At 63.2% G+C, this 9,848-nt stretch overlaps 1 protein-coding gene across 1 annotated transcript in view, besides 12 other annotated features; it reads left to right on the top strand.

Moving 5' to 3' along the window:
- Window positions 349-428: an enhancer, noted in NCBI's record as "active region_17718". NCBI's record gives its function as "activates an Ori minimal core promoter by ATAC-STARR-seq in GM12878 lymphoblastoid cells {active_cell/tissue: GM12878}" and the evidence as "EXISTENCE:reporter gene assay evidence [ECO:0000049][PMID:35858748]".
- Window positions 619-808: a silencer, noted in NCBI's record as "silent region_12801". NCBI's record gives its function as "represses an Ori minimal core promoter by ATAC-STARR-seq in GM12878 lymphoblastoid cells {active_cell/tissue: GM12878}" and the evidence as "EXISTENCE:reporter gene assay evidence [ECO:0000049][PMID:35858748]".
- NOL4L (nucleolar protein 4 like) overlaps window positions 1,001-9,848 on the top strand; it is a 142,275-nt gene continuing 133,427 nt past the window's right edge. The window contains exon 1 of the mRNA NM_001256798.2: window positions 1,001-1,764. Coding sequence (NP_001243727.1) covers window positions 1,444-1,764 — 321 coding nt within the window. The 5' untranslated portion in view covers window positions 1,001-1,443. The remainder of the gene's footprint in view (window positions 1,765-9,848) is intronic.
- Window positions 1,029-1,078: a silencer, noted in NCBI's record as "silent region_12800". NCBI's record gives its function as "represses an Ori minimal core promoter by ATAC-STARR-seq in GM12878 lymphoblastoid cells {active_cell/tissue: GM12878}" and the evidence as "EXISTENCE:reporter gene assay evidence [ECO:0000049][PMID:35858748]".
- Window positions 1,139-1,298: a silencer, noted in NCBI's record as "silent region_12799". NCBI's record gives its function as "represses an Ori minimal core promoter by ATAC-STARR-seq in GM12878 lymphoblastoid cells {active_cell/tissue: GM12878}" and the evidence as "EXISTENCE:reporter gene assay evidence [ECO:0000049][PMID:35858748]".
- Window positions 1,439-1,488: a silencer, noted in NCBI's record as "silent region_12798". NCBI's record gives its function as "represses an Ori minimal core promoter by ATAC-STARR-seq in GM12878 lymphoblastoid cells {active_cell/tissue: GM12878}" and the evidence as "EXISTENCE:reporter gene assay evidence [ECO:0000049][PMID:35858748]".
- Window positions 1,829-2,028: a silencer, noted in NCBI's record as "silent region_12797". NCBI's record gives its function as "represses an Ori minimal core promoter by ATAC-STARR-seq in GM12878 lymphoblastoid cells {active_cell/tissue: GM12878}" and the evidence as "EXISTENCE:reporter gene assay evidence [ECO:0000049][PMID:35858748]".
- Window positions 2,059-2,268: a silencer, noted in NCBI's record as "silent region_12796". NCBI's record gives its function as "represses an Ori minimal core promoter by ATAC-STARR-seq in GM12878 lymphoblastoid cells {active_cell/tissue: GM12878}" and the evidence as "EXISTENCE:reporter gene assay evidence [ECO:0000049][PMID:35858748]".
- Window positions 2,329-2,378: a silencer, noted in NCBI's record as "silent region_12795". NCBI's record gives its function as "represses an Ori minimal core promoter by ATAC-STARR-seq in GM12878 lymphoblastoid cells {active_cell/tissue: GM12878}" and the evidence as "EXISTENCE:reporter gene assay evidence [ECO:0000049][PMID:35858748]".
- Window positions 2,489-2,708: a silencer, noted in NCBI's record as "silent region_12794". NCBI's record gives its function as "represses an Ori minimal core promoter by ATAC-STARR-seq in GM12878 lymphoblastoid cells {active_cell/tissue: GM12878}" and the evidence as "EXISTENCE:reporter gene assay evidence [ECO:0000049][PMID:35858748]".
- Window positions 2,879-3,088: a silencer, noted in NCBI's record as "silent region_12793". NCBI's record gives its function as "represses an Ori minimal core promoter by ATAC-STARR-seq in GM12878 lymphoblastoid cells {active_cell/tissue: GM12878}" and the evidence as "EXISTENCE:reporter gene assay evidence [ECO:0000049][PMID:35858748]".
- Window positions 5,190-5,889: an enhancer, noted in NCBI's record as "H3K4me1 hESC enhancer chr20:31168247-31168946 (GRCh37/hg19 assembly coordinates)". NCBI's record gives its function as "activates a minimal SCP1, AML or CMV promoter by ChIP-STARR-seq in naive H9 embryonic stem cells {active_cell/tissue: H9 hESC(naive)}" and the evidence as "EXISTENCE:reporter gene assay evidence [ECO:0000049][PMID:30033119]".
- Window positions 8,858-9,811: an enhancer, noted in NCBI's record as "H3K4me1 hESC enhancer chr20:31164325-31165278 (GRCh37/hg19 assembly coordinates)". NCBI's record gives its function as "activates a minimal SCP1, AML or CMV promoter by ChIP-STARR-seq in primed H9 embryonic stem cells {active_cell/tissue: H9 hESC(primed)}" and the evidence as "EXISTENCE:reporter gene assay evidence [ECO:0000049][PMID:30033119]".

The raw sequence follows: 9,848 nt of genomic DNA, 5'->3' as shown, positions 1-9,848 counted from the left end.
GGGCCTCAGGACTTGGATGGTGACTTGCCTGCAGGAGTGTCATGGGGACATGGGGTGGACCCCCGGGGACAGCTGGGAGAGAAGTGCAGCAATTCCTCATGACCTGTTAAGGAAGTGGGGGGTAGGGGCACAGAAATCCTGGGGAATTGGCCTGTGCCTTTATTTATGTTGGTAATTTCATTAAGGGGGAGGGGACCAGCTAGCTCTACCCAAGGTCAGATCTGCCCAGGTAGGAGGGGGGCGGTGGGGCTACCTGAGTTTACTCAGCAAGAGATTCTAGGTCAAGGCGCACTCAGGAAGGCAGGGTGTCTCAGGATGAGTTTGTGGATGTGTTGAGAGTTTTCTGAAGCGGAGGTGGGATTGGGCTGAGGCCACAGGCGACTTCCCAGGGGGCCTGGGCCTGTCCCAGAGCAGTGGGGCAGGCAAGCAGAGGCAAAGCTGGCCAAACTTCGGGGAATTCAGGGTGAGGCAAAAGGAGAGGAAGTTTGGGGGCCCCGAAGGGCGGCGATGTGGGGTTCCCCCAGGGGAACACTGCTCTTCTGGCTTCGGCTCACGGGAGAGGTCAAGTCACTTGCGGGAGCGAGGGAGGGGGAGCCTGCCCTACACCTTCCCGGCCTGGCTAAGTGGGGCGGGGCGGCCGGGAGGTCGGCGTCTGGGCTGGGGTCTGCGCCCTACTCCCCGCGGGACCGCCGCGTCCGGGAGGAGCGGGGCCTGCGAAGCTCCGGGCCCGGCCCGGCCAGACGGAACGCGGTTCCTGGGCTGGGCACTGCGCGCCTGTGGTTCCTGCCCTCCCGGCGGCTGCGGGCGCGGCTGCCCCCGCGCCCCCAGGGGCCGGGCCGGGCGGGGGCTGGGCCCGGCGGGCGGGCGCAGGAGGAAGGGGGGGGCGGGCGGCGGCGAAGGCTGCGCCGCTCTAACAGGTGGGATCCCGCGGCGTGGTGGAGGCGGGCGCGGGAGGAGGAGGAGGAGGAGGAGGAAGAGCCGCGGCAGCGGGAGCCTGAGCAAGAGCAGGATGAGCCGCGCAAGCTGACAGCCACTGCTGCCGCCCGCGCCCAGGCTCGGTCTCGCTCCCAGCGCTCGGGGCCGCTCCCCGCCTCCCGCCTCCCCCGGCCGCCCGCGGGGCGGCCCGCCCCCTCTGCACCTCCGGGCCCGGAGCTGCCTCCATCGCTCCTGCATCCCGGCCGGGGGGAGGAGGAGGCGGAGCAGGAGGCGAGCCGGAGCCGCCGCCGCCAACGCCGCCGCCGCCGCCCGAGCAGGACAGAGCGCGCCGCAGCCCCGCGCGTCCGGCCGCCGCCCGCGCCCATCCAGCAGCCTCGCCGGAGCCACACCGCGGGACAGACGCGGCCGCGGCGCGTCCCGGCCCGGTCCAGCCCAGCCCAGCCCAGTCCCGGCACCGGGCGGCCCGGCGGCCGGCCCGCCCCCGAGGGCGCCGGGCGCGGCGGGAGGATGCCGAAGCCGACGCTGCTGCTGCGCGGGGGCTGGGAGCGCGAGCGCAGCCCCGGGGACTCGGAGCTGGGCCGCCAGTTCCGGGACTGGTGCTTGCGCACCTACGGCGACTCGGCCAAAACCAAGACGGTGACACGCAGCAAATACCAGCGGATCGCCGAGGTCCTGCAGGGCGGCGGCGGGACTGGCGCGGGCAGCGGCCCCGCAGCCGGCGAGAAAGGCAAGTTCCAGTTCTGGGTGCGCTCCAAGGGCTTCCGCCTGGGCAGCGGCCGGGAACCCAAGATGGGCCAAGTGGTGTATGTGCCGGTCAAGACGGGCTCGGTGAGTGCGCGCGCGGCGGCCGCGGGCGGGTCCCGCCGCGGGGCTTGGGGCAGGCGGGCGGGGGCGGGGTGGGGGTGTGGATGTGTGTCCGAACGTGTGTCCCTGAGGTTGTCCGTGTGTCGGGCCCGCCGGAGGCGCACGCGTCCCTGCTCACCGGCCCTTCCCGGCTCGCCTGGGCAGCGCTCCGGGTTCGGGGCGTCCCTGCCCCCCTCCGCGCCGCTGCCCGGGCCGTGGCCGTGCCGGGCAGGCTGTCCCGGGCTGCTCACCCCAGCATGTTCCGTCCTCTTGTCCCCTCCCCCCGCCAGCAGGCGGCTGCTCTGGAGCCCGAGCCTCCCCCCGCCCGCCCCGGGGCTGCCTGTCCCGGGCGCCTCGCGCTCCCGCCCCCGGGCCGGCTGGGCGGTGTGTGTGTGTGTGTGTGTGTGTGTGTGTGTGTGTGCGCGCGCGGAGGGTGGTGCCGCGGGGTGGGGGGGGGGGAGGGAGGCAGGGGCAGCCGCGGGACGGGGAGTCCGCCGGGCCTCCCAGCGCCAGGGGAGGGGGCCCGCCCGGGCACTGTCGCCCCGACCCCACCCGGGGCTGGCCCGGGGAGGGGCGGCCGGAGCCGCAGCCTGGCGCAGGAGCAGCCTCCCGCGGGTGGGTGGGGCGCCCCCTCAGCCCCCCGGGCCCCTCGTTCCCCCTTCATGGGACGGGGGAGGCCTGACCTATCCATCCCCTCCCCTCCCCCGTCCCCCGGGCCGGCCCGGTCCGGGCGGGGTGGCGTGGGGGAGGGGGCGGGGAACCGCAGCCGCCTAAAGGGAGGAGGCGGGCGGCCGGGCGGGGGCGTCCCCTCTGGCCCGGGGCGCCCTGGAGAGGGCGTGCGGCGCGGGCCCCGCGGCTCCCCCGCCGGGACCTCATTGTTCTGCAGAGGGTGGGGGCTGGGGGGGGGGCGGCCGCTCCCGGGGCGCTGCTGAGCTTTGAACTTTCCGTCGCCGAGACCCTCCATTAGTGCGTTCCGCCCCCGGCCCGGTCGGGCCGCGCCGGCCTCCCCCCGCCCTCCTTGCTCCCTCCCCGGCCGGAGCGCGAGAGCCGGGCCGCCCCGCGCCGGCCTCCCTCCCTCCCCCGCTCCCCCGCTCCCCCCTCCGCGCTCCTCCCCCGGCCGGCCCGCCCGCCCCGCGCTCAGCCCCGTCCCCGGCCGGAGCGGGCTCTTCACACACAATTGATTCGGTCGTTACGAAAAGTGCACTTGTCCCCTCCCCCTCCCCCTCCGCGGCCGCCCGGGCCGGGCCCGCGGGGTGAGGGGGCCGCGAGGGAGGGAGGCGGGAGCCGGGGAGCAGATCCGGAGGCGCCTCCCCCCGCGCCCAGGGGACGGGGCTGCAGGCCGCGGGGAGTGGGAGCCGCGAGCGCGGAGGGCGGGCGGCCCATCTGCGAGGAGCGCTGATAACCGCGCTGCGGCCGCCAGCAGCCCATCTGCGCCGCTGCCGCCTCCGGCCGGACCGGGAACAGGGGGCCGGGCAGAGGGGCGCGCCGGGACCGGGCTCCCCGAGGGGGAAGCTGGGGCAGTGACCCAGCCCGCGCAAGGCTGGGACCCTCCCAGCCTAAATCAGCACTCTCGCTCAAACCCGGCGAGTCTGGGTCATTGTCCCCTCCCCCGATCGAGTCCAGGACCCCTCCCCCAGCCCAAATCAGTGCCACTTTCCCAGATGGGGAGTATGGGTCAGCCCTCCCCACCCTGCCAGGTCGGTCCCCTCCTCGGTTCTCCCATCTTGGGTCACTGCCCCCCGCCGGAGGGCGGTTTTTCTGAGGTCAGTGACCCACGAGATGGTTGGCTGGGTCTTGCCCCCTACCCTAGGTCAGTGCCCTCTGCCATCAGGGCTTCCCGGGTCGGTGCCCCACCCCACCCCCCCATCCTGGTTACACCTCCCTGAAGAGCTGGAAGCCTTGGCCCAACCTTCTTAGTCTGAGGCAGGAGCCCTGAGTCCACCCTCTCCTGGAGTTGGGGGGTGACCCCCCAGACCTGGCAGCTGGCTCACTGGCTTTCTGTGTGGCTCGACTTCTCCCTAGGGAGTGGGCATCTGGAGCAGTCGTCCACTCTTTATCCACACAGCTGTAGAGGCTGAGCACCCCCTCCCCCTATCCAGGCCACATGCAGAAACTGGGTGCTGGGCCTGGACCCCAGGTCCTGCCGGCCCAGCTGCTGGCTTCAGATGCTCCTTGAGACCCACGCTGACCCGCTCTGCCTGCCCCTGGCAGCGCGACCGTCCCCAGTCTCCACCCTGGCTCTCAGACCAATAATGAGCCCTCCCCAAGGGACCACCTGCCTGGGAGGCAGAGAAAGGGGACCCAGGCCTCCCAGTCCAGGCTGCCAGGAGATCGACAAACACAACAGACGTGCCCTCCCTCGACAGCCCGCCCCTCGGGCTCCCCACGCCCGCCTGCCTGGCCTGCTGGTCCCGAGAGCCCGTCAGTTACCTGCCACTCGCCCAGCCAGCCGGAGCCAGGCAGGAGATGCCACCCCCATCTCCAAGTTCTTTCCTGGGGCCCAGTTATTATTTTTATATTTCCATTTTCCTTTTCACTGATCCAAGAGGAACAAATCCTGCTGGGAATTCTGGGGCAGCCATTGGCCTCTTCCTGGGAGGGGCTGAATGGGACCTCCTTTGAAAGGTGCAAAGGACGTCTCCCTGGCCTACACACACACACACACACACCCCCTCACCCCTGGTGTCATTTGGGAGAGAGCCTGTAGTTTGGTCCTCGGTGGGTTTTTGTGAAGGTCATTGGGCCATAAACCTTTGTCAAAAGCATTTGTTTAGTACCCACAGTCCTTGTGCGGGCACTGGGGTGCTCGGGTGGGTGGGGCTGTGTGCCTGCTCCCAGGTCACCCAGCTGTCGGGGGTGGTGGGCATAGCTGAGGACAGGATAAAGAAGCCCATGGGGGCTTCAAGAGAGAGCAGGTAGAAAGATTCCAAGGAAGAAGGGAGGTGGGAGTTGGGTCATCCAGCAGACAGGCCCCATATAGCCTCTGTCCCCAGGGTGGCCATGGTGTGTCACCTCTCTTCCCCATTGCTCTCTGGCTGCCCCCACCCTGGGCCTCCCTTCCTCCTCCCACAGCCATATGCGGTGCTGTGGTCAGGGCCCTCTCCTAGTCCCGGCCAGCCTCGGGTCGATGATCTGACACCACTTGTCCTGTCCCATCTGGCCCTGAGCTTTTCTGGGTGTGTGTGACAAAGGCTTAATCTGTCCGGACGGGCCCAGGGCAGAGAGAGGGCGAGGGGAATTACACTCCACAGGGCCTCCTGCAGCTGGGGCCCAAGTGGGGGTGGGGCAGGGCGGGGGTCGAGGAGAAGCCTGGGCGTGGGGGAGAGGCAAGTTGGCCTCCAGTTTGCAGGTTGTCACAGGAAGTAGAAGGTGGAAGCAGGGTATGGAGGAGAGGAGGGCGGAGTCCTCCACGGGCAGCTAGGGGTGCTGGTGGGGATAAGATCTCTTTATGACAAGAGCCAGCTGGGGGCCTCCTGGCCGGGTGAAGCCTGGTGAGGATTTATTATTTCTTACGTTTGGCCTGCTCCAGGCCTGTGGGCTGCCAAGCGGGGGAAGCAAACCCCTTGGAGACAAGACCCTCCAATTCCGTTCCGGCATTGGCCACAAAGTAAAACAACCCCTTTCCTTTTCCTCTGGCCTCTCTGAGTGGAGCGCGTGGAGCCGTCCCCAGAGCCTGCGAGGGCCACAGGTTACGGCTGAGGTGGGGCCCTGGGCTGTCTGTCAGTTCCTAGGATCAGAGAGCCCCAAGTCTCCGTGGAGAGATAGAGGTTCTCAGCCCAACTGTACCATCTTCCAGATGGGAAAACTGAGGCCTAGAGAGAGGAAGTTTCCATTTGTTGAGAGCCAGGACTGGAACAGGGTTCTCTGTGCACTGCTGTAGCTTCTCCGTGGACCTGCCACATGCCAGGAATCCCACCGTTAGAGCCCCATTCCCCAAGGGAAACTTCGAGATTGCCAAACTCCACTCTCAAAACCAGGCTTTTGCAAGCTGGACCCCAGGTGTTCCACTACCCAAATTGACTAATGGTGGTCTTTTCCCAGTTTGCAACAACGTTCATTTAGTGGAAAGCATTTTGAGGCCTAAGTCTTTCTCCCCAGAGCTTTTGTGTAAACCTTTGGCACCTGCGGCCGCTGGTCTGGGCGGGAAATGGCCTCTGACTTAGCACCGCGTAATATGTGCTGTGACCTTTGGTTGAGTCCCTCAATATTTCCTGGTTTTCTCTGAATTATCAGTATAGCGGCTGTTTCGGGGGTCACCTACTGTGTGCCTGTCACTGGGCTGAGGCGCTGATACGCATCAGCTTGTGGAATTCTCACAGCAGCCTAGAGGCCAGTGCTGTGATTACTGCTACCTTCACATGAGTAAACTGAGGCTTAGGGAGGTTCAGAACTTCCCCTAGTCCACACCAATGCCAGGGCCTTGCATACATCTCCATTCTGACTTTGAAGGGTCTTGCAACCTGATCCAATTTGAAAGCACAGGTCCTTCATGTCAAGCTTTCAGTCCATTACACTTTAGTCTGAATTAGTTTCAAAGCATCCCTCTGGTCAAGAGGTCTGTATTCACAGGCTGCTGCCTGAGGCAGGACTGGCACAACATAAAGTCTGTGGGCTTTCCTAGGGCTCATGAAGATGGGTGTGGGGTGGGGAGGAGGGAGGATGCCTCTGTTGTCCTGGGTCCTGGGGGGGCTTTTGGAAGAAGGTTGACAGTGATGCCTGGCACAGGCTCCATTTGCATTTTTTGTGAGTGGCAGAGCGTGCGTTTTTGTCAGTTACACGTTGTGATTTGGGTGGCATGGTCCTGGGTAACTCTGGGGGGCTGCATTTCGGTGCCAGGGTGATGCAGACAGGTCAGGCTCTGCCTTCCTGGGGCCTCCCCTCTAAGTCCTGGGTCACTGTCTGCTGAGGGGTGGGGACACCGTGCACCCTTCTTCCCTGGGTAGGAGCTGGTAGGAAAACCCTCTGCTTTATGGCCCCTGCAGGCTGCTTTGTCGTCCCTGCACGTCTGGGAGGCTGGAAGGCCCATCTGGGACCTCAGAAATGCTGCTGGGAGGATTGGGGGGTGGGGAGCCTGTGGCTGGGGGTGTCTGGGGACCAAGTGGAGGGCCTCAGGCATACCTGGGCTTCTTCAAGCCAGATCTTAGCTCAGAGGTTGTGCGACTGAATCCTGAACATGTGTGTGCTCACGGGCTAGAACACGCATGTGCGTGCATGTGTGTGTGTGTAAAAGTGCAACTGTGTGGGTGTGAGTGTGCTGTTCCTATCTATGTGCAGGCTGGAAATGCTTGTGTGTGTGTGCGTGGAGTGTGTGCAGGGCACAGGTGGAGAGGCTCCTCTGCGTGTTTGTCGGCATCTATGTGAGCACCTGGGCTGTGGGCCTTGGCAGCTGCGGGTGTGACTGCGTGTGCTTGCACTCATGTGAGATCTGGATTGGACTCACCCTGTCTGTCTGCCAGTGTGGTGCTGTTGGGATGTCCTCCATCATCACCAAGTCACCTGAGCTGCTGCCCTGGCCCCTGCCATCCCCGGAGTCTCAGCAGCTGGCTGAAGCCAAGAGGTGGCCATAAGAGGTGGTGCCATACCCCCGTCCCCATGACTGCAGCCAAGGCATCTCCTTGTTCCAGCTTCCCACTGCCACCCCCTACCCGCCTCTTGCTATGGTCCTATAACAAAGCCCAAAGCCAAGCATGGGGCGGGAAGGTCCTGGGAGAAAAGGCTCTGAACTTGAAGTGAGGGGGCCAGGGCCTATGGGGTCCTAACTCAACTGTTTAATTCCCACATGACCACGGGCAAGTAGCCTGCCTGGCCTCTCTCAGTCTCAGTTTCCTTTTCTGGAAAATGGGCTCTAAAACTCCACTTCTTGGCAAACTGGAAAAGGCTCTGCTGTCATTTGAGGATGGTGGCTAAGGAATGTGCTTGAGGCCACCCTGCTCACTCATGTCAAAGCCAGGCCTACCAGCCTGGGGACATGGTGAGACCCCGTCTGTATGCAAAATTTTAAAAAACTCAGGCATGTTGGCACGCACCCGTAGTCCCAGCTACTCAGAAGGCTGAGGCAGGAGGATCACTTCAGCTCAGGAGTTAGAGGCTGCAGTGAGCTGTGATCATGCCACTGCACTCCAGCCTGGGTGACAGAGGGAGACTCTGTCTCAAAAAAAACAGAGAACGAGGCTAGGCCCATGGGCCCCAAAGCAGGTAAAGAAGCAGCTGGAAGTTGGTGACAGCACCCACCAGGGCCAGTGGCTTATTAGAACAAGAACTCTTGAGTCCACTTTGATGTAGAGAACAGGTAAAGGGCCTGGGCTTTAATGCTACAGGACCCTGGGTTCAAATCCCATCTCTGCCCTTTTATCAGTTTGGCCTTAATTTTCCTTCCTTCCCTCCCTCCCTCCCTCCCTCCCTCCCTCCCTCCCTCCTTCCTTCCTTCCTTCCTTCCTTCCTTCCTTTCTCTCTTTCTTTTTTGACGCAATATTGGCTTACTGCAACCTCCGCCTCCCATGGCCTTAATTTTCTCATCAGTAAAATGGAACTGTAATCATATTCCTCTTCTAGGAGTGATGTGGAAATTAATGCTTTCATGCACGTAGGGCCCCCAAATGTAGCAAATCTTAGGAAATGTTAGCTGCTATGTGATCTCACTGAGCCTCAATATTCCTCATCTGGAAAATGGGAATGGTGATGAAGGATGTTGTGAATATTAAATGGTACAGTGGAGACGAGGCACCCAGCCAAGTCCCCGGCATAGAGTAGGTAGGCAGCAACTATGAGTTCCCTAGAGGTTGTATCTGAGTCATTTCTGTGTCTCCAGTACTATCAGGGGCCTGAGAAATGTTGCATTGAATTGAACAGAGAAGGCTTTTTCTTTTCTTTTTTTTGAGACAGATTATCGCTTTGTTGCCCAGGCTGGTCTTAAACTCCTGAGCTCAAGTGATCCTCCTGCCTCAGCCTCCCAAGTAGTTGGGCTTACAGGCAGTGGGCACTGCACCTGGCACCAGAAGTCATGGTGAGGGATGGAGATGTGGCATGAGCCCCCAGAGCTGGGAACTTGCAGACTCAGGGTCTCTTGCTGCCCTGACTGGTTCCTGCCCTGCAGTGAGCCTCATTATGTTTAGTTATGACATACAGAAGGCTCCAGTGATCTCCCTGCCTCTGAATTCTTCCCAGGTGTCAGATCCCAGAGGTCAAGGAAGGGCGCTGGAGGGCTTTCCCAAGGCCTGGCAGGCACCTGCTGAGAAGAGGGACAAGCCTCTCGCCCTTCTCCTGTATGGACGCCACCCCCGCCCGGCCCCCTGGCTGGGAACCTGAGTTCCTGGGGTCTGGATTTGTGAGGAGAACACACAATGGCTGGCGTAATGACTGCCTCCCTCCGGCAGGGGTCTGAGCCCATCTCCCAATTTTTCAAGCCCCTGCCATGTGCCAGATACATTATTCCATTTAATCTCCCCTGGGTTCTGTGAAGTAGATGAGAACTTGGTACCAGACAGGCCAGGGAACCTCCTCAAGGCCCACAGTGAACACACAGCTGGGCTGGAGCTCCAGGGCTCTGTCTGACCCTCCAAACCCCAGAGCCTGGAGGCAGGGGCACGGGAGGACCCCCGGGAGTGAAGGCAGCAGGGGTGCCCTAGCTCTCCACCCACCCCTGGCTCATGGTGCCCTCTCGCCTTTAGTGAGGGCACCCCACGTAAGCTTTCTAGACCTCAAGGCTGCCCTCCCACCTGGCCAGACCCAGCCTTGTGGGAGACGGATGCCCCTGCTGCCTCTCGTCCATGCTCTTCCCCTCCGATTTCAACTGCAGCTGCAGGCCTGGCCTGGGCGGGCTGCTGGGCTAGCAGACGGGAGTCGTGGGGAGTGGGGAGACGGCAGAGCAGGTGGGAGGCTGGGCCCATCCTCTCACCCACGTGGTTGTGGATCCCGGAGCACTAGTCCTCTTGGCCACCCTGGACATGGAGCTCCTCCCCTGCAGATGGGGAAACTAAGGCAGAGTGGAGGGAACTCACTCAAGGTCCCAATGAGCTCCAGAGCTGAGTGTGAGCCACTGGTTCCCAAGCCCAGGTCATTCATTTATTCAC

The sequence above is a fragment of the Homo sapiens genome, chromosome 20 (genome assembly GCF_000001405.40).
Source record: "Homo sapiens chromosome 20, GRCh38.p14 Primary Assembly".
Classification (NCBI taxonomy): domain Eukaryota; kingdom Metazoa; phylum Chordata; class Mammalia; order Primates; family Hominidae; genus Homo; species Homo sapiens.
The sequence above is the reverse complement of the archived record's forward strand: the minus strand, read 5'-3'. Positions and strand labels throughout refer to the sequence as shown.